The sequence below is a fragment of the Homo sapiens genome, chromosome 17 (genome assembly GCF_000001405.40).
Source record: "Homo sapiens chromosome 17, GRCh38.p14 Primary Assembly".
In the NCBI taxonomy this organism is placed as follows: domain Eukaryota; kingdom Metazoa; phylum Chordata; class Mammalia; order Primates; family Hominidae; genus Homo; species Homo sapiens.
In genome coordinates, this window is record NC_000017.11 from 49,492,744 (window position 1) to 49,517,613 (window position 24,870).

The 24,870-nt window shown below is 56.0% G+C and overlaps 1 protein-coding gene, 1 long non-coding RNA gene and 1 other non-coding gene across 3 annotated transcripts in view, besides 12 other annotated features; 2 read left to right on the forward strand and 1 right to left on the reverse strand.

Moving 5' to 3' along the window:
* Window positions 2,403-2,772: a silencer, noted in NCBI's record as "silent region_8669". NCBI's record gives its function as "represses an Ori minimal core promoter by ATAC-STARR-seq in GM12878 lymphoblastoid cells {active_cell/tissue: GM12878}" and the evidence as "EXISTENCE:reporter gene assay evidence [ECO:0000049][PMID:35858748]".
* On the forward strand, window positions 2,550-22,265 carry NGFR (nerve growth factor receptor). The gene is made up of 6 exons (NM_002507.4): window positions 2,550-2,740; window positions 9,320-9,461; window positions 13,556-13,915; window positions 17,669-17,921; window positions 19,149-19,309; window positions 19,965-22,265. Exons 1-6 carry the CDS (start codon window positions 2,675-2,677, stop codon window positions 20,264-20,266), a joined length of 1,284 nt encoding a protein of 427 aa, NP_002498.1. The 5' UTR covers window positions 2,550-2,674; the 3' UTR covers window positions 20,267-22,265.
* Window positions 3,727-3,926: a silencer, noted in NCBI's record as "silent region_8670". NCBI's record gives its function as "represses an Ori minimal core promoter by ATAC-STARR-seq in GM12878 lymphoblastoid cells {active_cell/tissue: GM12878}" and the evidence as "EXISTENCE:reporter gene assay evidence [ECO:0000049][PMID:35858748]".
* The window catches only part of NGFR-AS1 (NGFR antisense RNA 1), a 68,408-nt gene continuing 56,451 nt past the window's right edge, over window positions 12,914-24,870 (reverse strand). Inside the window, exons 2-3 of the long non-coding RNA NR_103773.1 lie at window positions 18,240-18,370; window positions 12,914-13,757 (exon numbers count right to left, since the gene is read on the reverse strand). This is a non-coding gene — a long non-coding RNA (NGFR antisense RNA 1). The remainder of the gene's footprint in view (window positions 13,758-18,239; window positions 18,371-24,870) is intronic.
* Window positions 15,692-16,343: an enhancer, noted in NCBI's record as "H3K27ac-H3K4me1 hESC enhancer chr17:47585797-47586448 (GRCh37/hg19 assembly coordinates)". NCBI's record gives its function as "activates a minimal SCP1, AML or CMV promoter by ChIP-STARR-seq in naive and primed H9 embryonic stem cells {active_cell/tissue: H9 hESC(naive and primed)}" and the evidence as "EXISTENCE:reporter gene assay evidence [ECO:0000049][PMID:30033119]".
* Window positions 16,995-17,645: an enhancer, noted in NCBI's record as "H3K27ac-H3K4me1 hESC enhancer chr17:47587100-47587750 (GRCh37/hg19 assembly coordinates)". NCBI's record gives its function as "activates a minimal SCP1, AML or CMV promoter by ChIP-STARR-seq in naive H9 embryonic stem cells {active_cell/tissue: H9 hESC(naive)}" and the evidence as "EXISTENCE:reporter gene assay evidence [ECO:0000049][PMID:30033119]".
* Window positions 17,646-18,296: an enhancer, noted in NCBI's record as "H3K4me1 hESC enhancer chr17:47587751-47588401 (GRCh37/hg19 assembly coordinates)". NCBI's record gives its function as "activates a minimal SCP1, AML or CMV promoter by ChIP-STARR-seq in naive H9 embryonic stem cells {active_cell/tissue: H9 hESC(naive)}" and the evidence as "EXISTENCE:reporter gene assay evidence [ECO:0000049][PMID:30033119]".
* Window positions 18,074-18,157, forward strand: MIR6165 (microRNA 6165). Its single transcript, NR_106751.1, has one exon. It is a non-coding gene; the product is annotated as a microRNA 6165 (primary transcript).
* Window positions 18,752-19,719: an enhancer, noted in NCBI's record as "NANOG-H3K4me1 hESC enhancer chr17:47588857-47589824 (GRCh37/hg19 assembly coordinates)". NCBI's record gives its function as "activates a minimal SCP1, AML or CMV promoter by ChIP-STARR-seq in naive H9 embryonic stem cells {active_cell/tissue: H9 hESC(naive)}" and the evidence as "EXISTENCE:reporter gene assay evidence [ECO:0000049][PMID:30033119]".
* Window positions 20,785-21,560: an enhancer, noted in NCBI's record as "H3K4me1 hESC enhancer chr17:47590890-47591665 (GRCh37/hg19 assembly coordinates)". NCBI's record gives its function as "activates a minimal SCP1, AML or CMV promoter by ChIP-STARR-seq in naive H9 embryonic stem cells {active_cell/tissue: H9 hESC(naive)}" and the evidence as "EXISTENCE:reporter gene assay evidence [ECO:0000049][PMID:30033119]".
* Window positions 21,561-22,335: an enhancer, noted in NCBI's record as "H3K27ac-H3K4me1 hESC enhancer chr17:47591666-47592440 (GRCh37/hg19 assembly coordinates)". NCBI's record gives its function as "activates a minimal SCP1, AML or CMV promoter by ChIP-STARR-seq in primed H9 embryonic stem cells {active_cell/tissue: H9 hESC(primed)}" and the evidence as "EXISTENCE:reporter gene assay evidence [ECO:0000049][PMID:30033119]".
* Window positions 22,336-23,111: an enhancer, noted in NCBI's record as "H3K27ac-H3K4me1 hESC enhancer chr17:47592441-47593216 (GRCh37/hg19 assembly coordinates)". NCBI's record gives its function as "activates a minimal SCP1, AML or CMV promoter by ChIP-STARR-seq in primed H9 embryonic stem cells {active_cell/tissue: H9 hESC(primed)}" and the evidence as "EXISTENCE:reporter gene assay evidence [ECO:0000049][PMID:30033119]".
* Window positions 22,379-22,428: an enhancer, noted in NCBI's record as "active region_12363". NCBI's record gives its function as "activates an Ori minimal core promoter by ATAC-STARR-seq in GM12878 lymphoblastoid cells {active_cell/tissue: GM12878}" and the evidence as "EXISTENCE:reporter gene assay evidence [ECO:0000049][PMID:35858748]".
* Window positions 22,459-22,518: an enhancer, noted in NCBI's record as "active region_12364". NCBI's record gives its function as "activates an Ori minimal core promoter by ATAC-STARR-seq in GM12878 lymphoblastoid cells {active_cell/tissue: GM12878}" and the evidence as "EXISTENCE:reporter gene assay evidence [ECO:0000049][PMID:35858748]".
* Window positions 22,624-22,918: an enhancer, noted in NCBI's record as "tiled region #8308; HepG2 Activating DNase unmatched - State 1:Tss, and K562 Activating non-DNase unmatched - State 5:Enh". NCBI's record gives its function as "activates a minimal TATA promoter and a strong SV40 promoter by Sharpr-MPRA in HepG2 and K562 cells {active_cell/tissue: HepG2 | K562}" and the evidence as "EXISTENCE:reporter gene assay evidence [ECO:0000049][PMID:27701403]".

A 24,870-nucleotide genomic window follows, 5' to 3' on the forward strand; every position in this document is an offset into this window, starting at 1 on the left:
CATTTGATCCTCACCCCGCCCTTTCAAAATTCCCATTTGATAGATGAGAAAACTGAGACCAAAAGAGATGATGTAAACTGCCTGAGGAGTCAGCAATGGCAGAGAGGGAGGGAGGAATAATACCCAGGCCTGTCCCACTCCCAGTGCAATGCTCTTTCCTCTACACACTTTGCAGCCACTCTCCCCGCCAGCACTCAGCATTACGTAGTGGTCTTGCGCTTGGGTTTAATCATAGAAATACCGCTAATAATAGTAACAATTGCTGTTTGTAATTGTTTGAGTAAGGCTTAAATGATCAGGACCATGGAAATTATTAATAACCCAGGCCCAGCCATAGTGTGGGTCGTATTAAATTGTGTTGAGATGGATAACGTTAGCAATAATAGTAACTGGGATCATAAATTAATAACAGGAGTATTTAAATTAATGCCACACTGTCGATACCCTTAGTCATAAGCAGCTCAACGCTGCTGTTAGTACTAATGTTGCCCCTTCCTTCCTGCCTTTTATGAATTCAGCTGAGAGGAAGGCAGGTCTAGAAAAGCAGCGGGAGGAGGAGACATCTTAGAAGCAGTCCCTGTCTGGAAGGAATGACTCTTCAGTGATTTCTGAAGAGGTGCTCTTTGCCTGGCCTCTTATGTCCAGCCATGAAGGTGGTGGCTCACCAGCATTCATGCTGAAAACCACAATGATGTCTACCTGTCCTTTCCAGGCCAGGGCTGTCCCCTGGACTTTGTGGGTTACACAGGAAAGAAATTCACAGGACAGATATTTTTTTCCCCCATGAATGAATGAATTAGCTTCAGCCGATCTTGGAAGTCACCTACAGACTGCTAGCGTGCTCTCTTCATGAGCACTGTTTTTTGTTTGTTTGTTTGTTTGTTTTTTGAGATGGAGTTTTTGCTCTGTGGCCCAGGCTGGAGTGCAATGGCGCTATTTCCGCTCACTGCAACCTCCGCCTCCTGGGTTCAAGTGATTCTTCTGTCTCAGCCTCCTAAGTAGCTGGGACTACAGGCGTGAGCCACCACGCGAAGCTAATTTTTGTATTTTTAGTAGAGATGAGGTTTCACTATGTTGGCCAGGCTGGTCTCGAACTCTCGACCTCAGGTGATCCACCCGCTTCGGCCTCCCAAAGTGCTGGGATTACAGGCATGTGCCTGGCCCACAAGCGCTCTTGATCTCCCTTTTGTTTCCATAACTGGGGAGGGTAGTGAGATTTTTTTTTTTTCCAGGAGGAAACTGAAATCCAAACATGGTTAAGATTTGGGTGTTGGGATAGACTTTGCAGACACCCCCATCAACTCTGTGCTCCAGGGTCTTGATGTCTGGGAACGAAGAAATGGAGGGAACAGGAAAGGGGTAAGCATGGGGGTGGGTGGCATGCTTTTGGGGTTGGGAGGCATATTATTTGGACTTGGCAAGGTTTCTAGGGCAAGATGAATTTGGTCCTAGCACATGGATGGGTACACAGATATGAGTCCATTTCACCACTTTTCTATTTATTCCCTTCTACAAAACTTTCTTGAACCCTACTGTATACCAGGAATTCAGAGAAGAAACCATAATCCCTGCCTGCAGAGCTCATAAGCCCATGGAGACACTCACAGTCTGGTGAAGTCTATATTGTTGAAGATGCATCTGTTTGTTTGTTGATGGGTGTCAGTGTGTGTGTGCACTCATGAATGTGTGTGTTTGTGTGACTGTATACATGTGAGGGCTTATGCAGACACGACTGTATACATGCATGTGTGAATGTGTACATATGCGCGTTTGAATGTCCGGATCACATATGTGCCCGTGTGCATGCCTGGAGAGGTGCATGTGTGGGACAGTCAGGTCGGCAGGAGTGCATGAGAACGGTGTGGGCACACGTAAGTGCACGATCACACATACAAGTGAGCTTGAGAGTGTGTATTCCTGTGCACTGTGTGCACACCTGTGACCCCTTCAAACCCCTCATTTGAGAATCAAATGATGTCGGAATGGACTCCACCTTGAATGTCGATGGCCGAGGTAAGGGCGCCTGCGCCCCTCCCCTCCCCCTAGGCCTCTGCCCAGGGATCTCCTGCACTGGGAAGGGGAGGGGTGGGGATGGGGTGGAGGTGGGGTGATGGACTGAGATGAAGGGCAGGGAGGGCAAGCGGGCATTCTTACTGATAGGGGGCAGTTAGGGAGCAAGGCTCCAGGGAGAAGGTGAAGCCAGAGGCGGAGGAAGATGGGTAAGAGAGTGAACCCTGTGGCGGGCCGCAGCCGGAGAGGAACAGGAACCGCAGTGGGGACGCCCTGGTCCCCGGGCCCACAGCATCCGGGACGGACGCGCAGTAGCGCGGGCCGGGAACTGGGTACCAGGGCGGGATGGGTGAGAGGCTCTAAGGGACAAGGCAGGGAGAAGCGCAGCGGGGTGCGGGGAACCGCACGCCCTCCCTTTGCCTCTGCTTCCCACCCCGAGGCGGCAGGGCGGGCGGGCGCGGTTCCGGGGGTGGGCGGGCTGGGCGGGGCGGAGGCGGGGCCGCAGCACTGGCTTCACCCAGCCTCTCCCGCCCGCAGCCAGAGCGAGCCGAGCCGCGGCCAGCTCCGGCGGGCAGGGGGGGCGCTGGAGCGCAGCGCAGCGCAGCCCCATCAGTCCGCAAAGCGGACCGAGCTGGAAGTCGAGCGCTGCCGCGGGAGGCGGGCGATGGGGGCAGGTGCCACCGGCCGCGCCATGGACGGGCCGCGCCTGCTGCTGTTGCTGCTTCTGGGGGTGAGTGTTAGCCGGAGGGGGCCCGCTCCCTTTCCCGGGATCAGAACTCCGAGAAGAGCCGGGCGCCGCCACCAAGGAAACAGAACAGAGCATTGGGGTCCCAGATACTGAGGGTGGGTGGTGGGAAAGGACCTCTGATGCCGGGACCACGAAGGAGGGTCTAGGGTTCCCGGAGCGCAGAGGCGACTCTCCAGGGTGGAGATGAGGGCAAGACCGGAGCACGGATGCCGGTCCTCAGGTACCGCAGGGGGCGGTGGGGGAGCTGGGAGGGGTCTTTCAAGAGGGGGCATGGGGCTCTCCGATGCCCAGGTTCTTCGGAAGAGGACACTCGAATGCCGGGATCCCGAAGGGACTTTCCCCTCAGCATCTCGGTCTCTGGAGAGTCGTGGGACAGAACCAAGGCGAGAGAAGGAGGGGGAACTGGACGGGGACTAGAGATGAGAGGGGCGAGCTGGGCTGGGGCGGGGAGCCCGGGACGACGGGATGGAACAATGGAGGAGGTCGGAGGGACTGGAGGCAGAGGGGACCCGGCAAGGACAATGGGGACCGGCCAGACAATGGGGGGGAGGGGCGTCGGAGGGAGAGGTTGGGGAGCGGGAGAGAGGTTGAGAAGTGGGTTAGGGAGGGCAGAAGAGGGGCGACGGCGAGGGCGGCAGAGAGATGGAAGCAGAAGGAAAGGAGACAGAGCGGGGCGCGGACCCTGAAGTGGTCGGGGTCCCGCCTGCCCGCTGAGGGACAGTGAGACGAGAAGAGAGAGCAGAGGCTTGGACATTTCCAGCGCCTGTCCCCGCGCTCCTGCTCGCGGCCTCTCCCAGTCCCGGAATTGGGGCTGCGGATCTAAGGCTGGGAGGGGAGTGCCCACTTCGCCGGGGCGAACCCGCTCCCGGGGTTCCCCCACGGCCGGCGGGCTCCTCCGACGCGCGTGTTCTCACGGCTTGAAGCAGCGCAGCGGATCGCGAGGGACGGAGCGGGTGTGCCCCTACCCGGGCTGGCGGTGGCTACGTCTCGGGGTGCAGAGCGCCGGGGCGCACTAGGCGGGGACCCTTCCTGGCCGCGCGCAGCTCTGGCTACGCAGGCGGGAGGCGGCAGGCAGGGGGCGCTGCGGGGCGAGGCAAGTGCAGTCCGCCGCTGCCTGCCTGCGAGTCTGGGGCTGCGCGCCGCTCCCCACCTAGCTGCGCGACCCGAGCGCCGCGCCCACCGCGCTCCGTGGGCTCCCGCGCCTCGAAGGGTCGGGATCCGGTCTGAGCCTCTCCTGGCTCTCGGTGCAAGCCGCTGGGCACCTAACGAGACGGGGGCGCCCGGACGCCTCGGATTCTGTAGCGCGGTATCCCGGGCCACCGACTCGGCAAAGGTCGGCGGGTCCTCCGGGTGGTCCGACGAGATTGTCAGATGTGGCCTGCTTTATGGCCATGAACCGAATGCCCTGGAAGGTCTGGCAACGGAGGAGGCGTCTTCACTCTCCCCGCCAGCATCTTTCATCAGAGCACTGCGCCCCAAATTCCGGCTTTACAGATACGGAGACTGAGGCTCTGAGAGTTTAAACGACTTGGCCAAGATCTCACAGCAAGTTGGGCCAGAGTCGTGGCTAGACTCCCCGACCTGATTCCCAGCTCGGTACTCCCCCACCTTTTCAGGGGGCAGCCGCTGTCCCAGCTCGGGGTCACGGCTGCGTTTCCCAGCAGGGCGGGGGGGGTTGACACTGTCCCCAGAGTCCGTCGGCGGTAGAGCCTGCGGGTGAGGTGGGCAGAGATTCTGTCCGGGTGCGGGCCCCAGCCCGAAAGCTCAGCCCCAGTTCCCTGGAGCTGTCAGGACCTGTGGCTGCGTCCGGGGATTTGGGAGCGACCGCGGGCACGTCTGCTGACTAACGCCGCTGGTTAGAGACGCTGCTCAGACGCGGGTGGGCGAGCGTAGACCAGGAGAGCGGGGAGGAGGGACCGGATCCCAGAGGGGCAACGACTTGGGCTCCGGGTCTGGGCAAGAGCGAGGGTCCCCGCGCGAAGACCCAAGGAAGGAGGGGAGCTGGGCGTGGAGGACCTGGGCGCTTGGGAAGGTGTACCCCGACAGGAACCTGCCGTCTGCAGCCCCTGCGGCTCCCGCCTCCGCCTCGGCGCGCGGCTGCTCGGTCTGGGATGGCTGTGCGCGGTCCGAGTTTCTTCCTGGGCCGCGGTGAGAGAGAGAGGGCTGAAACCAGAGCGCGTCCCGGCGGGTCGGCTGGCGGGCCGCGCCGGTAATGGAGGCACTTTGTCATTCAGACGTCTGTAACCAGAGCCGCCGGGCTGGCTAATGCGCCTAATAGGGATGGAACGAGGGCAGCAAATGGGCGTGCGTGAGCGGCCGGGCTGAGCTGGGTGGATGGTGGATGGGGAGGCAGCTCCGCGGGGGACGGGCCCCTACCGCACTGTTCCAGCCCAGTCTGGCTCAAGCGCCTCGCTTCTTCCCTGGGGGACCGCGTGGGGAGGCGGGAATAATCGCATGTGCTGAGTTCCTACTAAGTGCCTTGCACTTCCCTGGTAGTTTCTCTTGAATTATTTAATCCTTATAAGGTCCTAGCAAGGTGAATTTAGTTATTCCCACTTCGCAGTTGAGGAAACAGAACCTTCTAGACTTTCAGGCCCGAGACCAGGCTCCCCCAGTGAGTCAGTGGTGGCGTCTTTGTTGGAACCCAGGATGCTTGGCCTGGGATGTTCTCTTTCCTACATATGCCAGGCTCCCTCCCGCCCCCTACCTTCTAGATCATGGAAGGAGTCGTGGCTCTGAGAGATTAAATCGTGCCCTATGCCTTTGGCCCCACACATTTAGATCTGAGCCCCTTCTCCACACGCAGAGGCCCTGCCCCCTCTCAAGTCTCTATGCTACATTATCTTGGGTAATTAGCTCCTTTCCTCCCAACTCCTCCCCTATCCAAAGGGAGTGAGGGGTATGTGCCAGTGCCTCCCCTGGGTTTGCATCGACCTCAAAAGGCCCTCCAGGTGTTTGAAAATCTCTCCCATCCCATGGCGGTGACCACGGCCCCATTCACTTAAGAGCTCTTTGCTGAAGCTGTTGGAATGGCCAGGGCTGATTATACTGAAACATTCGTATGGTTTCAAATACTTTCAACTGTTTCGCTGTTTCTCTCTTTTCTCTAATTAAAAAAAATGAAAATTCTTAAAAGTCAATTCATCTAAGGATCCTTCCACCTTAGTTCCTTGTAAGCCTTGAAATGGCCAAAACAAAAAGATTACAAGCGTTCTTAAAAATGAGATGAAATCATTCTGTCAAATGTGAAATGACTAAGTGTAACACATACAAATTTCAGGGAAATTTATCTGTCATCCCTATAAATTAATCCTTTTGGATCTGATTTTGGAGCAATTAGCCTGAATGTTAGTCACCCCTCCCTACTTGGCTAAACTCTCCCCTCCTGCCTGGGGTCTCCTTAAGATGAGATGCTTCTTTGATAACTAACATTTATTAAATTCCTACTGTAGACCAGACATATTTGCATAAATTATTTCACTTAATTCTCCCAGCAATCCTGGGCAATAGACATTATCAACCCAATGTTTTAGGTGAGAAAAACTGAGGTTTAGGGAAATTAAGTAATTTACCCTAAGCAACATACTATTAAGAAGCAGATCTAGGATTTTACAACATAGGGAACATAAAACAAGGACAGGAAATGCATGGTTACTAATTATCTGGCCCCTACTCCAAATGCAGTTTTTAAGAGAAGAGAGAGGACCTCAGGCTGCAGCAGGGAGAACAGGTTTCTTGGCAGGGGCATTTGCACAAAGCCCCCACACCACCCAAGACCACTGTAGACAGATCTCCTCAGCTGTCCAGAGCCCAACAAACTGGAACACAGCCAATGGCCACAAAGTAGACCCTGGAGGACAGAAAAGAGGGGTCCCAAAGTACATAAATACCTTATTTACTTGTGTAATACTTACAGCAATCCTATGATGCAGGTACTGTCATCATTACCTAATTATGACCCAGGACAAGTGTGGAGCCAGGATTCAGAGTGGCGTGAGAGCTCACAGATTGTATTCAGAGGCTTGCCTCCTCCTGGTTCAGATCCTATTTACATACCTTTATATTTTTTATTATTTTTATTTTATTTATTTATTTATTTATTTTGAGACGGACTGTCACTCTGCCACCCAGGCTGGAGTGCAGTGGCACGATCTCGACTCACTGCAACCTCTGCCTCCTGGGTTCAAGCGATTCTCCTGCCTCAGCCTCCTGAGTAGCTGAGACTACAGGCGCCCGCCACCACGCCTGGCTAATATTTTGTATTTTTAGTAGAGATGGGGTTTCACCATGTTAGGCAGGATGGTCTCGATCTCCTGACCTCGTGATCTGCCTGCCTCGGCCTCCCAAAGTGCTGGGATTACAGGCGTAAGCCACCACGCCCGGCCGGCACATGCCTTTCTACCAAGGCGAGTTCCACAGTTTCTGAAGATTCAATTAGACCTTAAATAGATTAGCGTGGTGGGGGAAGGGTTGCTTCAGGTCACACTCTGGTAGCAGCAAGAAGTGACAACTGATACCTTGACAGGAAGGGAGGAAACAGAAAAGCTATATTAAAAAAAAAAAAAAGGCTGACAGGAGAACTCAAAAAGACAAAAGTGTGGTAATTTGGGAAAAGAACAAAAGAGTTTCCCTGTATTGCAGCCCAGAGTAATCGCTGGTGTAAATACAGAGTCCCTGAGTCATGGGAAGCCATGAAGCTTTGCTCCAGAGACAGGGAAGGGTGCAGCCACCATGGTGAAAAGCAAAAATGATGAGGGCAGCAAAGCCTGGCAGTCTGGAATCTCGGCTAACCAACAGTCGCTCTCCCAGAGTTCTGGTTAATTGAGGTCATACAGTATTTTCATGTATTTCAACTCCACGCGTGTATGCATTGTGTCCCTACTGCATGCCAGATACCGCATCAGGCCCTGGGGCAATCCAGCTCCCTCAGGGAGCTGACAGTCCAATGAGGGAGTCTATAAAGTTCAGGCCAGACAAAAGCAGAGAGAACCGGAGAACAGGCTGGATGCGTAACATGGCAGCCCCACCTAATCTGTGAGCGGTGGGTGCAACAGGACCACTTCCTTGAGGAAGTGACATTTAAGCAGAGCCCTAAAGGATGAAAAGAAATCAGAACAGGCCCTTCTGGAATCTTGCCTCTTGAGGGAAAGCCTGCATCTGGGACCCTGAGGCTCCTGGTCTGCAGATGTTCCCAGCACTGAGTGTGTTGCTGCCCTGGAGGAGGTGCGGCAACACCAAGGTTCCACCTCCTCTGTTGCCTGTGCCTGTCCTGCTGGTCTCATGAGGACCACAGACTCCCTCCTGGGTTGATCCAACCTGTCTATCCCCCTGACTCCTCTGTTTCCTTCCCCACCAAACCCTGATGAGGCCGCAGGATATTTTAAAAGGCTGGAGGGAAAGGAGTGTCTTGGCCATGATCTGGCCAATGTAGAAGAAGCAGAATGCCCAAAACAAGCTTGTAAAGCTTCCCTCTGGTCCCACGACCCCAAAGCCCATACTTCTCAGCATCAAATGAGGGCTGCATGGTCTGGAGCTAGCAAAGCAGGCTTTGGAGTTTTATTAGACATTAAGTTTTTTTTAAAGGAACAGAAATATAAAGCAAGCCTCCACCAGCCCCTTCCCCTGGGGAATCTGGTGTTAAATTGTTACATCCACGAGCAAAGATGCTTCAGTGGCAGGAACCTGACTCCCCTTTCCCTTGGTTCCAGCCCTGTTCCCAGTGGCCACATGGGGGAGGGGGAGGACTGGTGGCTGGAAATCAAACCGTGGCAGGGCAGGGCTGCTGGGTGGTGAGAGCAGCCACTGTCCCATCATTGATAACAGTTCTCCCTTTCTCTCCATCTTGGTGCGAGGCTTTTGCCAAATGGCTGGCCTTTTGCCCTGGCACCAGGCTGTTGCCATCTCTGTAGAGAAATGAAGACTCAGAGGGAAGATGGGCAAGCAAGACCCCCAGTGTAGAGTCAGGATTCAAACCCAAGACCCTGGCCCTCTCCTTTCTGCTCTTGGGCATGGACATCTTCCATTTATTATTTAATATGTGGAATTAAGGACCTGGAGTAAGGCCCTGCTGGCCTTTGTTAGAAAAAGGCCCTCCTCTGGGTAGATACAACCCAGCAGGTGCAAAGCTTAGCAAATGGAGTTTGGGATAGGTTTCAGCTCTACTTGCCCCGTTGGCTGGGAGCCCTGTGCAAGCTACAACCTGTCCAACCATTCATGACATCCCTGTTGGTAGGCCCTCCGCTGGGCCTCTGGCCACCTTCCCCATGTGGTATATCCTTGGGATTCCAGGAGTTGCTGTAACCCCAGGATGAACTTTGCAGAAGGTCAGCAGCTGAAGCTCTGACCTCACACCCCCAGCAGCCTGCACGGGCACACTGTCCCTCACTTGCCTTTCCCCTGTCAGCTTTGATGTTCCTAACGCCTCCCTGGTGAGCTCATCCCAGCCCAGGTGGTTCTAATAGAAGGCAGTGGGAGGAGGGTGTTTGATTCCCCGGAAGAACCCCCCCCAACCCACCCCAGCTTTCTCTTGCCAGTCTGACCCTCCGATCTCCCTCCATCCAGGTGTCCCTTGGAGGTGCCAAGGAGGCATGCCCCACAGGCCTGTACACACACAGCGGTGAGTGCTGCAAAGCCTGCAACCTGGGCGAGGGTGTGGCCCAGCCTTGTGGAGCCAACCAGACCGTGTGTGAGCCCTGCCTGGACAGTGAGTAGAGGGTGGCGGGCAGGAGGAGGGGAGAAGAATGGGAGGGAGGAGAGGGGTGAAAGGGAGGGGCGCTGGGGAGAAGCATGCCCAGTAGAGGCCTTATAAGACCACCACTGTAAGGTCATCAGAAGTGGGTCTGACCCAGTGTAGGAGGCGCTTCTCCCAGATTCGAGAAGCTGAGAATGGAGAAGGGAAGTGTGCAGAGGGAGGAGGGGAACCCCATGGGGGATCTCCAAGGGGTGCCCATTCCCAGCTCTGGAGAAGGCAGAGGCTTGGTAGAAGAGTGTGGCTGGGCAGGGAGGAGTAGCTGATGCTAAGACCAGCTAAAAATATCATCTGCACTGCAAAATCAATGGCTGCCACTTATCCCCGGTGTGTTTGGGGGAAGGGAGAGGAGGATCAAATCCTGGCTGCCCTGAAGGCTGACCTTGGGGGATCCTGGGGGTGTGGCTGTTCCTCCCTACAGGCCAACTCTTCTCCAGCTTTGACCAGGAAGCAGAGTTTTCCCGAGGCAGCAGGGATGGGGGTCAGAGCGCCATGAAGACGTCCTTACTGTGGGGTGACAGAGGGGAGGGGAGACGGGGAGCTGTGCCCATTCCTGCCTGGGATTTCTTCCTTCCTTCCTTCCTTCCTTCCTTCCTTCCTTCCTTCCTTCCTTCCTTCCTTTCTCTCTCTCTCTTTCTTTACCTTTCTTTCCTTTCTTTCCTTTCCTTCCTTCCTTCCTTCCTTCAACAGAGTTTTGCTCTGTTGCCCAGGTTGGGAGTGCAATGGCATGATCTCAACTCACTGCAACCTCCACCTCCTGGTTTCAAGTGATTCTCATGCCTCAGCCTCCTGAGTAGCTGGGACTACGGGTGCATGCATGCCACCATGCCTGGCTAATTCTTGTATTTGTAGTAGAGATGGGGTTTTACCATGTGGACCAGGCTGGTCTCAAACTTCTGGCCTCAAGTGATCCACCTGCCTTAGCCTCCCAAAGTGTTGGGATTAGAGGCGTGAGCCACCGTGCTCGACCCTGCCTGGGATTTCTTTCAGGAGGGGAGAGAATCTCATCTTCCTGGGCTGGTGGGTCTGGGCCCCTTGGCCCCAGTCTTGTCCAGGGTCTGAATTCCCTCATGCTTTTGAGTCAGGAGTCTCGGTCCCTGATCGGTGCCCCCAGTCCTCAGTTGCTGCCTTTGGGCCGTGGGCTCCCTGCCCTTTTCCTGACTCCCTGCCTTCTACCTGGCACTCGATGCCCACCTGGAGGGCTCGAGGGAACCATACTCAGATTATTCTTTAATCCGGCTGGGAATAAGGGGATAGAGCTGGGGCCTCTGAACCCACCTGCGGACCTAGTGTTACCTCTGGATGTCCCCCCTGAGTCTATCTGTCCTCCAGGCAACCCCAACTCTTGGTGTTCCCCAGACACACTGTTTTCCCATCTCTGTGCTTGTGGATCCTGTAACACCATTCCCCAGCCAAGAAATGCCTGGGCGTATGTGTGGAGGTGGGACATCCTCCAATGCCTTTGCCGTCTTGCTTCATGGCCACCTGCTCTGGCCCTGGCCTAACAGGGTTTCCATTCCAGGGCGGGGGTGGCCAACCATCAGCTATCCCAGAACCTCCAAATCTGCCTCTCTTGCTTCCTAGACTCCAGCCCAGGACTCTCCTCCCAGGACCTAAATGATGGGAACCCTTTCCCTTCAGTCAAAGGACCTTCAGCAGGAGGTGGGGCGGAGGACACCAGGAGAGGGAAGTTCCAGAATCTCTGGAAGGGAAGGGAGGCAGGCAGAGAGGTGGCTTTGAGAATCCTCCCTTCCACTTCCTCCCTCCCCTCCATTTTCCCCTCCTTCCCTGTCTCCCCCTCCTCCACCTCCAGCTGCATTAACAGGCTGCCTTTACAAGCCCACTTTATGGGACGGAGACCCCAGCGGACTTTCCCTCTACCCTTAAAACGTTTCCACAAGGAAACCTATTAAGCCCCTGCCTTCATTCTCTGCCAAAAAAGACCACATTTTTCACACCACCTAAAACCCTCTCCCAGGAGTTTTCTGCTAATTTTCTGTGTTTTGCCATGAGCAGGCTTCTCCTCTTCCCCTCCTGTGTGACTAGACTTACCCTCCATCACACGCCAGCCAGCCAGGACCCTCTTGTTTGTATAGCTCAGACATCCTGCCTTTGCTGTTTGTGTTTGGACGTTCTTTCTGCTGTCTGACCATATTCCTACCTCCAAAGTTCAATGTCCTCATCGCTCTCCACCCCCATGGGGCCCAATCTTTATAGGATCCCAACTACGTGCCAAAGCTTTATGGCTGAATTTCATTTATTCCTCACTACAACCCTGTGACTGCAGATATTGCTCCTTATTTTTACAGAGAAAGAAAAAGCTCAGAGAGGTTAAGTAAAACACCCAAAGTCACACAGCTTATAAGCGATGGAAATGGATTTTGAATCCAGATCTGCCTGCTCCTAGGAAAAGGGACACAGGGTTCCTCTGTCAGAATTCACTTGAAACTGAAGTCTCCCTCCAGGCCCTTCTTCCTGGGTCTTTTCTTCTCTCCTCTACCCTTTTTCTTTCTTTCTTTCTTTTTTTTTTTTTTTTTTTTTTGACAGCGTCTCACTCTGTCACCCAGGCTGGAGTGCACTGGTGCAGTCTTGGCTCACTGTAACCTCTGCCTCCCATGCTCAAGCAATCCTCCCACCTCAGCTTCCCGAGTAGCTGGGATTACAGACGTGCACCACTACACCCAGCTAATTTTTGTATTTTTTATAGAGATGGGGTTTTGCCATGTTGGCCAGGCTGGTCTTGAACTCCTGGCCTCAAGTGATCTGCTCGCCTTGGCCTCCCAAAGTGCTGGGATTACAGGAGTGAGCCACCACGCCCAGCCTTTGTCCCCAGTTCTGCCCCTTTCACTTCTCTCTGGCTTTTCCTTCTTTGCCTCCTCATCCCCCCACCACACCCCCGAAGCCAGTGACCCCTTGCTCCATCTTGTCTCTGATGCCTTTGAATAATGTTGAGACCCCCCTACAGGCCTCAGTTTCCCCCTAATGGCGCTTTAGCCTTTCTGCTTCTGCTTCCACATTCTGAACAATCTGTCCTTCCCTGGTTCTCAGGTTCCTAAATCTATGCTCTTCCTGTCCTTGGAGCAAGGATAGGTCCTGCCAGATCCAGGGTGGCACAGAGTTCCCCACCCAAAGCTGGAAGGGGTGAAGAAGATCTGGCCCTGTTCCTTCCCCTCCCTGTACAAGGAGGCAAGGACCCTGGCGTGCCCAGCCTCCTTCTCCTTATTCTGGAGTGCACATCCAGTAATTAAGAAAACATGAGTGAAGAATGAGCTTGGACATCTCCCTTGCATCCTGGCCGAAAGGGCAGACGACGCATGTGCAGATCTCAAAAGGGTGATCATATAGTTGTGCAGCTTGTGTACTGCTCAACAATATCCATCTGAGAGAGTGAGTGTGGGCTAAGAGCCAGCTCTCTAGCTTCAGTGGCTCCTGCCTTACCTGAGCCCTCTTGCCTGCAGGTCCGTCCCCACCCTCAGGATCCAAGCCCTTCAGCAGCATGGGGGTAGTGCCATGGGTGGGAAATTCTGCTGTCTAACCCCGGTCACTCCCATTTAGGCTGCATCTGAGCCCACACCTGTGTGGAGAGGAACTGAAGGCAGATGAGGCAGGAGGCTCCCTAGGGGAAGGCCTACCTTGCCTGGACCGGGTTAGCAGCCCAGCTCTGGCCCGCGGGGAGGGCTGGGTGGGAACCACGTTCAGATTATTCCTTAATCATGCTGGGAACATAGTACAGGCCTGGGAACTCTCAAAGAGAATTTGCCAAGAAACTTAGCGGCACCAGCTGGGTTATGCCGGAAAGCCTCCCGGCCGGCCAGTGCTTCTGGAGCCTGGAGGATGCGGCTCCGGGCCTCCTCCCCCTTTCCCAGTTGGCTGCCACCAACTTTCACAGGCTAGGGGTCAGGGTCCCTTGGAAGAGGGTGGGAGCCGATGAGAAGGCTGAAGGAGGAAGTCAGCGTCCTGGCAGGCAATAGGGGAGGGAGAGACTCCAGCTCCTGCGTCCCGGGTGCCCAAAAGAGCAGACGACTAAATCTGGTGTCCGCTGCGCTCAGGCGTGACGTTCTCCGACGTGGTGAGCGCGACCGAGCCGTGCAAGCCGTGCACCGAGTGCGTGGGGCTCCAGAGCATGTCGGCGCCGTGCGTGGAGGCCGACGACGCCGTGTGCCGCTGCGCCTACGGCTACTACCAGGATGAGACGACTGGGCGCTGCGAGGCGTGCCGCGTGTGCGAGGCGGGCTCGGGCCTCGTGTTCTCCTGCCAGGACAAGCAGAACACCGTGTGCGAGGAGTGCCCCGACGGCACGTATTCCGACGAGGCCAACCACGTGGACCCGTGCCTGCCCTGCACCGTGTGCGAGGACACCGAGCGCCAGCTCCGCGAGTGCACACGCTGGGCCGACGCCGAGTGCGAGGGTGAGTGCGGTTCGGGGGGCGGGGGGAGTGGGGGTGCGGGGGTGGGCTGGGGGCATAAGGAAGGGCGCTCTCTGGAGGTCGACAAGGACCCTGCCTGGCCTGCTGGGGCAGCTTGGTGACCTTGAGGCAGCGTGCACCTTCCCTGAGCTTCAGTCCTTTCCTGGTAACCTAAGGGAGGAGGTCATTCCCCATCCTGTCTCAGCAAAGAACCCCTCTCTGTGTTACCTTCTTTGGGCTGTTTGGAAAGTGGGCGTTCTCAGCGTCCCAGGCCGCGGGTACTACATTGTAACTCATCCTCCGGGACGCATTTCTCTGTGGCTTCCCGCTAGTGATTAGCTGAACAGCAAGCAGCTCGAAGGTGGCCACTACCCCCAGGGCACAGAACGGGAGAGGTCTGATCCATGAGGCAGGCTTTCTGAACTGGAAGAGCAGCTTGAGGACCCTCAGGAGCTGGGACCCTTTGACTCTGAGCCCTGGTCTAGGTCCATGGTGGGTTTTGGCTCTGGGACCTGAGATGGAACCCACCCTGTCCTTGACTGACGTTAGGGAGTCCACTCCTGTCTCTGGGCCTCGGTTTCCTCACTGGTCATATGGCTGCCAGGGTTGTTGCGGGTTAGGGAATACAGTGGGGCTGGCCCACTTCAGCTTGCCCTGTCTAGGGGAGGGGTCAACCGTGTTCCGCAGTTTAGTGAAGGATGAGGGGCATGCAGGGAACACTAAGGAGGGGCTCTGTGGAAGAAGAAGGAGGGGAGGGGCAGACCTGGGGCTCAAAAGCCCGGGGACAAGGCAGTGCATGCTCGTGGCTGTCAGCTCCAGGGATGGATGGGAGCTGGGCGTGCCCACCTTAGCCAAGCACAGGCCCCAAGGAGATGGGGTGGTTCTTGGGATGGGAGAAGGAAGCCCCGTGGGAGCCAGGGCAGAGCTGTTTTGGTCTCTGGTTGGTGACGTCCGTCTCAGGGGAGACTGGTGGGCTTTTCCACTTCGGGGAGAGGCTGGCAGTGCCTTTACATCCTGTCCATCATCCTGTGGCCATGCACACATTGAGCTATTTCCCTTTGAGAACTAACCTGCATCCTCAGGTTGCCTTTACCCTGAGCAGGCAATATAGTACCTCCTTCAGTGAGCCCCCAGTTTGATGGGAGAGATAGCCTTCGCCCAGTCTAATGAGAGAGACGTGGTCCCAGCACTTAGTCCCCAGCTGAAGGAGAGATAGCTCTCACTTTAGAGATCCCCCATTCTGATGGAGGCAGCAGAGCTTCTGCCTCAGTTAGCACCCAGATCTCCTGCCCCTGGGGACCCTCCAGTCTGATAGGGGCTCCAACCCACACCTGCCTTCCAAGTCCTGCCATCTCTGGCTTTAGGAGCTCAGGATGGGGAGGGCTGTTACGCTGGGCTAAGGCCAGGTTGAGCTCAAAGCTTCCTGCCTTGGAGAAGGAATGAGGAGTAGGATGTGGTGGTTCTGTTGGCAATTGCCCTGGGCCAGGAGACAGGCAAGTGGCATCAGGCGCCAGGCAGAGCGCAGGAAGGGTTTCAGCAGCCAGGCATCAGGCAAGCAGGCAGCTCATTTCTGTAGGCAAGTCCAGACCAGCCAGCTGGGGGCGGGGCGGGGGGACTTGGGGGCGCTGCTAGAGCAAAGAAAGGTGGTGACTGTGGGAGGAGCAGGCTTTGTCTTTTGGGGCATTCACAGATTCCTCTCAGATACCAGCCCACTTTCCCAGCCACCCCGAAGGAGGAGGGTGCTCCTGAGGGAGTGTTCATACCAGACCCTGTTCCCCTTTCAGCTTCAGGCTCTGAAGGGTTAAATGTCAGCTCTGGGACAAGAGACCATTTCAGGAAATGGAATTTGATTCTTGGTTTTGTTGCCCCCTCCCCTCCAGCGTACCATACTTTCCCCGCATTTACTTACGTTTCAGGTGTCAACATGGTGACTCACCCACCCTCAGGGCAGAAGGGCTACCCGCTGCCCCAGTGAAATTCGGTTTGAATAGGGATAACCTGGTCCCTCCATGCAGCCCGGAAATGGCTGTCAGGACCTGCCAAGGGCTTAGTAGGTTGGAATGCTAGTGGACGTGGCCACATCTGGATCTCATCCCCCCGCCCCCGTCAGAGGGGATTGGAGAGATGAGGGCAGCTCCCCAAGAGTCAGTGCCGCCTCTGGTCTGGCCACGCCTTGCTACCCTCCCAGCCTTCCCCTACCATGCTCTGATCTCGGTGATGGTCTCATTCATTGGGCACCCGGACATGTACACTCCTTCACCCTCTGGCTTGGGGTCAGTCTGAGCTGAGCTGTGTCTCCAGCCTCTGGACTTGGGCTGCCCCCCAGCTTGCCCAGTCCCCTGGCAGAGCAAGAGAAGACCCTCCCCAGTCCAATGCTCCACCTGGGGCTGCCAGAAGACAGGGCTCTGTCTCCTTCACTACCTCTGGCCCCTCCCAGGACGGAGACGGGGAAGGGTGGTTTGGGTGACAGATGGCAGCCCCTCACTGCTGGCAGCCAGATGGATTCTAGATTCACATCTGGGGGCTTTGCCCCTCAGAAGGTGCTGAAAACGGGCCTTTGAAGCATTTCATCTTGAGTGGAAGAGGCCAGAAGATGGGTGGCAGCTTCTACTCCTGCTTGGGTGGGCAAAGTGGGGGCTGGGAGGGCAGAGCTGGGAGCCAGTTACCCTCCCCTTCACCCCATTGGCATGTCCTGCCTGCTTTCCCTCCCTGCCCCAGGCGTGGGAAGTGAGGAGGGACGGGGTAGGCAACATTGCCCAGACAAGTATCCCCAGGCCGTCCAGAGCCCACAACCCCTAGCACTGCCCCTGGCTGTGTGGCAGAATGGAAAATCCCACCCACTGGTGCCAGGAAGGGCTGGGTCCCCTGCCAGGGAGGCTGGCAATGCCCAGCTAGCATGAGAGGGTCTAGGTGGGTGGCAAGTCACAGTCTCCCCCCGCCAGCTGAGGCATTGAGCTGGACCTGCCTCATGGGCCCCTTCTCCACTGGCTCTCTGCTTCCTGACCAAGGAGGGTTGGGGCTACCTGATGCTGTCATCTCTGGTTGGCAGGATCAGGCTAGGTGGGAGCCAGGCAAGACAGGAAACAGAGGCTGGCCACTGTCCAAGGGCTGGCTGGAGGGAGGCAATCCAGCTGCCCCCGCACCCCTCCTTTCCACCCAAGCCTAGAGCCTGAGACATGAGGTCAAAAAGTCGGGGAGTGCTCTCAGGGAGGTGGTGTGGGGGAAGCACCTCTCTGACCAGACCTGTGTACCCTCTTCTTTCCTTAGGACAGGAGTGACTAGGGTCATCAAGGACAAGCTGGGGCCAGAGAGACATTTCCCAGAGTGACTCCAGCTCAAGGCCTCCCTGTGGTCAGGCTTCTTTGTGTGTTTGCTCCTAGATAGGCCTCTCTAGGTACTCAGGAGGTGGAATAGAATTCCAGGACCATAGCCCCAGATGGAAGGGAGCTTAGAGACTGTCTCTCTTAATAGCCCCATTAGATAAATAAGGAAATCAAGGTTCTGAGAGAAAAGGGGGCTGGGCCAGAGTCACCCAGCAAGTCAGTGGCGAAGCTGAAGGAGATGCAGCTCTGTGGGCCCACAGGCCTTGCTCTTTAGCATCATGACATCATGCACGCAATCCCAGCTGTGCATAACAGCTGGGCACAAGAGCACCTGGAGCCAGGGCGGGGACACAGGAAGAACACGGCAGTGGGTTAGAGCTAAAAGGGAGGAGTGGGGGAAGTGGGTCCTCACTCCTGTGGCCTTTTCTCCCAGAGATCCCTGGCCGTTGGATTACACGGTCCACACCCCCAGAGGGCTCGGACAGCACAGCCCCCAGCACCCAGGAGCCTGAGGCACCTCCAGAACAAGACCTCATAGCCAGCACGGTGGCAGGTGTGGTGACCACAGTGATGGGCAGCTCCCAGCCCGTGGTGACCCGAGGCACCACCGACAACCTCATCCCTGTCTATTGCTCCATCCTGGCTGCTGTGGTTGTGGGCCTTGTGGCCTACATAGCCTTCAAGAGGTAAGAGAGGGCACGGTGGCGACAGAGAGGGGAGATGTTTGCCCTCAAGGAAGACTTTGCTGTGACCTTGACCTGAAAACATACACACCCTTTTAACTCAACCCCAAACCAAGCTCATCCTCACTCATCATCTGCCGCCCCACTCCAGGGTGCAGCAGGTCAGCAGGAGGTGAGGGGAGAGGATCCACCTGTCCTGTCCTGTCCTCTCCTGCCCTGTCCTGGCTCCAGCCCCTCCCACTCCCATGCCGCACCACTCCCTGACTCCCCACCCCCAACTGCTTGTGTCCTCATCCCCAACCTCCTTCACCCCACAGTCACCTGCGTGTGCATATGTCTCTTCCCCTTCGCTTGTCACACTGGGAATGCTGTGGCACCCACATCCAGGAATCCAGGATGTGCACGAACTCCCAGAAGGCATTTTAAAGCTTTAAATGCATTTTCCATTCTTTCTAAAAAAAAAAAAAAAAAATCATCAAAGTAACACATCCGTGTTTAGGAAAATGCAAACAAGACCAATATCTTTCAAAGCAAAAAGTAAAAGCCCCCTTTTATCTCCCCAAATCCTACTTCTCTCCTTATTGGAATCTGTTTGAAATGGATCCTTCCCAACTATTTTCTGTGTGTCTTTTTTTATAAACATGTATATAAACCTTTTATAATTACATGTAAACATGGAGGGCTTTTTAGGCATCAGTGAGATCACATTGTACATATTCTACAGCTTACTTTTTTCACTCAGTCTCCCTCAGGAGACCTTTCCTCAGGAATGTAGATTAGCTGATCATTTGTAACCACTCATTCAATAGTATGGATGGATGGTAATTTATTTAGCCAGTCCCCATTGATGGACATTTGTTTTTTTTTTTTTTCCAGTTTTTTGTTATTGCTTATAATTGCAGAGGAAATCCTTTTATATGTCACTGCCCACATGTGGGAGTATTTTAGAAGGGTAGATTGGGAGAAGAGGAGTTCCTGAGCAGTCACTTTTGCTGCACTGCTCATTCCAGGAACATTTACTGAACACTTACAGAGGGCCCCTCTGCCCTCATGGAGCTTTCAGGGTAGGTGGGGGCAGATGTGCAAAGAGGAGCCTTAGATGGTGGGGTGGCGGTTATAATTGGGCACCCGCCATGCCCCTGGCCCTCACACGGCAGAGCACAGATACTCAGCTGCATCGGCCACTACAGCCCCTCGCCCCCTGAAACCTGGCCTGTCCTCTGGCTCCAGGTGGAACAGCTGCAAGCAGAACAAGCAAGGAGCCAACAGCCGGCCAGTGAACCAGACGCCCCCACCAGAGGGAGAAAAACTCCACAGCGACAGTGGCATCTCCGTGGACAGCCAGAGCCTGCATGACCAGCAGCCCCACACGCAGACAGCCTCGGGCCAGGGTGAGCAGCGGCCCGCTGGGGAGCTGAGGCGGAGCTGAGGCTGAGGAAACAGAAGCAATTAAGATTAGACTCCAGGAAGGACTGTCGGGGGGGCGGCAGGGCTGGCTCAGCGGTGCCCCTGTAGATGGATGGAGAGGCTGGCCGAGGGGAATGGGAGGGAGAGGTCCTCTCTAGAGGAACGACTTGGGAAATGGAGGCTTTTACAAGTTGGAGCATCCAGACTCATCAAGCTAATTGTCCCCCCTGGGGGCTAATTATTGCCCAAAGTAGCTGCAATTAGCCTCTTGCCCTGGACTTCTGGGGAACAAGTAGTTAAGTGTGTACCCTAATTAGTGGCCCATAGCCCAGCTCCGGGACACTTGCTGTAGTTGTCTAGAACTGAGAAGCCCTATCTCCTCCTCTGCCATGATTAATTGCTGGGGGGGAAGAGAGGAGGGATGGGGATAGGGATTGGGCTGGAGTGACAGGAGGAAGGGACAACGAGTCCCCCCAGGTGCCTTCACTTCCTGGTGCCCCACCCAGGACCTTGTCTTGGCCCCAGGCCTCCAGATGGGGAGGAGCACTGCCTCGGCCCTTCTTGGGTCTCACCCCAGTGCCCACTGTTGGGGAAAGGAGTTCAGGGGTAGGACCTGACTCTCCTCTGGTTTCTCTGCAGCCCTCAAGGGTGACGGAGGCCTCTACAGCAGCCTGCCCCCAGCCAAGCGGGAGGAGGTGGAGAAGCTTCTCAACGGCTCTGCGGGGGACACCTGGCGGCACCTGGCGGGCGAGCTGGGCTACCAGCCCGAGCACATAGACTCCTTTACCCATGAGGCCTGCCCCGTTCGCGCCCTGCTTGCAAGCTGGGCCACCCAGGACAGCGCCACACTGGACGCCCTCCTGGCCGCCCTGCGCCGCATCCAGCGAGCCGACCTCGTGGAGAGTCTGTGCAGTGAGTCCACTGCCACATCCCCGGTGTGAGCCCAACCGGGGAGCCCCCGCCCCGCCCCACATTCCGACAACCGATGCTCCAGCCAACCCCTGTGGAGCCCGCACCCCCACCCTTTGGGGGGGGCCCGCCTGGCAGAACTGAGCTCCTCTGGGCAGGACCTCAGAGTCCAGGCCCCAAAACCACAGCCCTGTCAGTGCAGCCCGTGTGGCCCCTTCACTTCTGACCACACTTCCTGTCCAGAGAGAGAAGTGCCCCTGCTGCCTCCCCAACCCTGCCCCTGCCCCGTCACCATCTCAGGCCACCTGCCCCCTTCTCCCACACTGCTAGGTGGGCCAGCCCCTCCCACCACAGCAGGTGTCATATATGGGGGGCCAACACCAGGGATGGTACTAGGGGGAAGTGACAAGGCCCCAGAGACTCAGAGGGAGGAATCGAGGAACCAGAGCCATGGACTCTACACTGTGAACTTGGGGAACAAGGGTGGCATCCCAGTGGCCTCAACCCTCCCTCAGCCCCTCTTGCCCCCCACCCCAGCCTAAGATGAAGAGGATCGGAGGCTTGTCAGAGCTGGGAGGGGTTTTCGAAGCTCAGCCCACCCCCCTCATTTTGGATATAGGTCAGTGAGGCCCAGGGAGAGGCCATGATTCGCCCAAAGCCAGACAGCAACGGGGAGGCCAAGTGCAGGCTGGCACCGCCTTCTCTAAATGAGGGGCCTCAGGTTTGCCTGAGGGCGAGGGGAGGGTGGCAGGTGACCTTCTGGGAAATGGCTTGAAGCCAAGTCAGCTTTGCCTTCCACGCTGTCTCCAGACCCCCACCCCTTCCCCACTGCCTGCCCACCCGTGGAGATGGGATGCTTGCCTAGGGCCTGGTCCATGATGGAGTCAGGTTTGGGGTTCGTGGAAAGGGTGCTGCTTCCCTCTGCCTGTCCCTCTCAGGCATGCCTGTGTGACATCAGTGGCATGGCTCCAGTCTGCTGCCCTCCATCCCGACATGGACCCGGAGCTAACACTGGCCCCTAGAATCAGCCTAGGGGTCAGGGACCAAGGACCCCTCACCTTGCAACACACAGACACACGCACACACACACACAGGAGGAGAAATCTCACTTTTCTCCATGAGTTTTTTCTCTTGGGCTGAGACTGGATACTGCCCGGGGCAGCTGCCAGAGAAGCATCGGAGGGAATTGAGGTCTGCTCGGCCGTCTTCACTCGCCCCCGGGTTTGGCGGGCCAAGGACTGCCGACCGAGGCTGGAGCTGGCGTCTGTCTTCAAGGGCTTACACGTGGAGGAATGCTCCCCCATCCTCCCCTTCCCTGCAAACATGGGGTTGGCTGGGCCCAGAAGGTTGTGATGAAGAAAAGTGGGCCAGTGTGGGAATGCGGCAAGAAGGAATTGACTTCGACTGTGACCTGTGGGGATTTCTCCCAGCTCTAGACAACCCTGCAAAGGACTGTTTTTTCCTGAGCTTGGCCAGAAGGGGGCCATGAGGCCTCAGTGGACTTTCCACCCCCTCCCTGGCCTGTTCTGTTTTGCCTGAAGTTGGAGTGAGTGTGGCTCCCCTCTATTTAGCATGACAAGCCCCAGGCAGGCTGTGCGCTGACAACCACCGCTCCCCAGCCCAGGGTTCCCCCAGCCCTGTGGAAGGGACTAGGAGCACTGTAGTAAATGGCAATTCTTTGACCTCAACCTGTGATGAGGGGAGGAAACTCACCTGCTGGCCCCTCACCTGGGCACCTGGGGAGTGGGACAGAGTCTGGGTGTATTTATTTTCCTCCCCAGCAGGTGGGGAGGGGGTTTGGGGGCTTGCAAGTATGTTTTAGCATGTGTTTGGTTCTGGGGCCCCTTTTTACTCCCCTTGAGCTGAGATGGAACCCTTTTGGCCCCCGAGCTGGGGGCCATGAGCTCCAGACCCCCAGCAACCCTCCTATCACCTCCCCTCCTTGCCTCCTGTGTAATCATTTCTTGGGCCCTCCTGAAACTTACACACAAAACGTTAAGTGATGAACATTAAATAGCAAAGAAAGAAAAATAGTACAAAGAGATTTTCTGGAAATACACATGGTTTGAATTGTTTGGGATTGGGTGTGTGGCAGGGACCCAGGTATAATTTCCAATTCGGTCAATTCCTGCCCTCTTTTCCCCCACACCAAAAGGGGAAGTTTTAACAGAAATCCAGTAAGTTCCCATGTATCACTATGGGGTGAGGTGGGGAAGGAGAAGGGGCCCTTTGCTCCCAGATCTTGGAGAGGGAAAGTGAAAATGGCCACGCAGGAAGCTAGCCAGCTGTGAACTTGACCAGATGTCAGAAGTGAAACTGACCACAGGCAAGTCAGAGGCTCGCCAGGAGGGCCAGGTCACAACCCCACAGCTCCCAGCCACCCACGTGGCCTGGGAGACACACACACACACATACACACCACAGAGAGAGAGAGAGAGAATCTGGCTCCAGATGGCCTAGCAGGAGGCATTCGGCAGGCCTGGCCTGGAGTTAGGCAGGCAGGCCCCTCCCTTGTAGCTCTCGTGGGCAGGTCCTAACCCAGGCTCCTGACAGCCTGGCTTCGAGCCCCGCCTGGCCCAGGCCTGGGAGCTCCCAGGGCTGTAGGGCTCCTGGCCCTGGGCCTGTGCCTGTCTCTGAGGCTCAGCCTCAGCCCCTGCTGGTTGTTTGGCCAAGTCCTCCGGGGAGACTGGCTTGTGGTCACTGAGGAAGACAAAGGGAGGCTTGCTCTTCCAGTAAAAACAGCAAACAAGCCTGCCTGACCTCCAGATCCAGGGAGAAGGGCCAGCCAGGCCCAGCCAGAGTCAGACAAGGGTGGAGGGGAGGTTCTCTGTCTTCCATTCCCCTCCTACGCCCCCAGACTGTGAGGGGTGTAAGGAAGATGGAAGATGTTGCGGGAGGGATTCAGAGTAGGTAAGAGAAATAATCCTGGTACTTGGAAAATCAGTGTGATGGGAAAGACAATCTCTGTCTTGAGCGAGGCTCCCATCTAATGAAGGAGACAGTCCCAGAATTGAGGATATTCTAACCTGATGAAGGAGGCACACCTCCTATCCTAAGGGTGCCCCCATGCTGATGGGGAAATATACTCTTTGACCTAAGAGTGGCTCTCCACTCTGCCCCCCACTCTTGTCTGGTGGGGGAAAACCAGATGCTGTCCTGTGAAATAAGGAGAACTCAAATCCCTGCCTTCACCAGCCTTACATTCTTGAGGGAGCTAGAGCAGACCGGCCCTCTATGGTGTGTACTGCTATAATAGTGGGGGGATCCTAAGCAAGACCCACCCACACCAGGGGTCAGGGAAGGTTTGCCAGAGAAGGGATATGGAAGCTGAGTCTTTAAGGATGAGTGGAGTTAACTAGACAGGTCGGGGGGAGAGTGCTTCTGGCAGAAGAACCAGCTCAGCAAAGGCCCTGGAGGGCGCCAGCACAGAGCACACGTGGCCTGGGGAGGCTCTAGGGCCCAGAGCCCAGAGAGTGAGTAGGAAGGTGATCAGTGGGGCCTCAGCGGGGAGGGCTTGTGAAGAGACACACTAGGGGGTCTGGACTACATTCTTGGAACACTGGGGAGCCACTGGGGGGTTTTAAGTATAGGAGTGCCATAGACAGACTTGTACTTTATTATTGATTATTTTTTATTTTTTAAAATTTGAGACAAGGTCTGGCTCTGTCACCCAGGCTGGAGTGCAGTGGTGTAATCTCAGCTCACTGCAGCCTCAACTTCCCAGGCTCAAGTGATGCTCCCACCTCAGCCTCCAGAGTAGCTGGGAGAACAGGCACACGCCACCACACCCAGCTAATTATTTTGTATTTTTTGTACAGACGGGGTTTCGCCATGTTGCCCCGGCTGCTTTTGAAATTCTCGGCTCAAGCCATCCTCCTGCCTTGGCCTCCCAAAGTGCTGGGATTACAGGTGTGAGCCACCACACCCAGCCCAGACTTGTACTTTAGAAAGCACTAGCTCCAGCTGCAGAGTGGAGGGTGCTGGGTGGAGCAGGGTGGGCTGAGAGGTGGGAGTCAGTGGCGGCCTGAAATCAAGGAGGAAGCATAGGGGTGGTGAGAAAAGGGGCTTTTAAAGAGCTCCTCAGAGCCAGGGGCATGGGGTGGTGGGTAGGGAAGTGACTGACACCGTCCAGGGGCTCGTAGGAACAGGAGGGCTAAGAAACTTAAAGACGTTTGATATGGTTTGGCTTTGTGTCCCCACCCAAATCTCATCTCAAATTGTAATCCCACGTGTTGAGGAAGGGACCTGGTGGGGAGTGATTGGCTCATGGGGGTGTTTTCCCCCAAGCTGCTCCTGTGATGGTGAGTGAGTTCTCACAAAATCTGATGGTTTAAAAGTGTGTGGGCCAGGCGTGGTGGCTCACACCTGTAATCCCAGCACTTTGGGAGGCCAAGGCAGGTGGATCACCTGAGGTCAGGAGTTTGAGACCAGCCTGGGCAACCTGGTGATACCCCATCTCTACTATAATACAAAATTTAGCCAGGCCTGGTGGCGTGAGCCTGTAATCCCAGCTACTCTGGAGGCTGAGGCAGGAGAATTGCTCGAGCCTGGGAGGCGGAAGTTGCAGTGAGTCGAGAACGCGCCACTGCACTCTAGCCTGGGTGACAGAGCTACACTCCGTCTCAAAAAAAGGAAA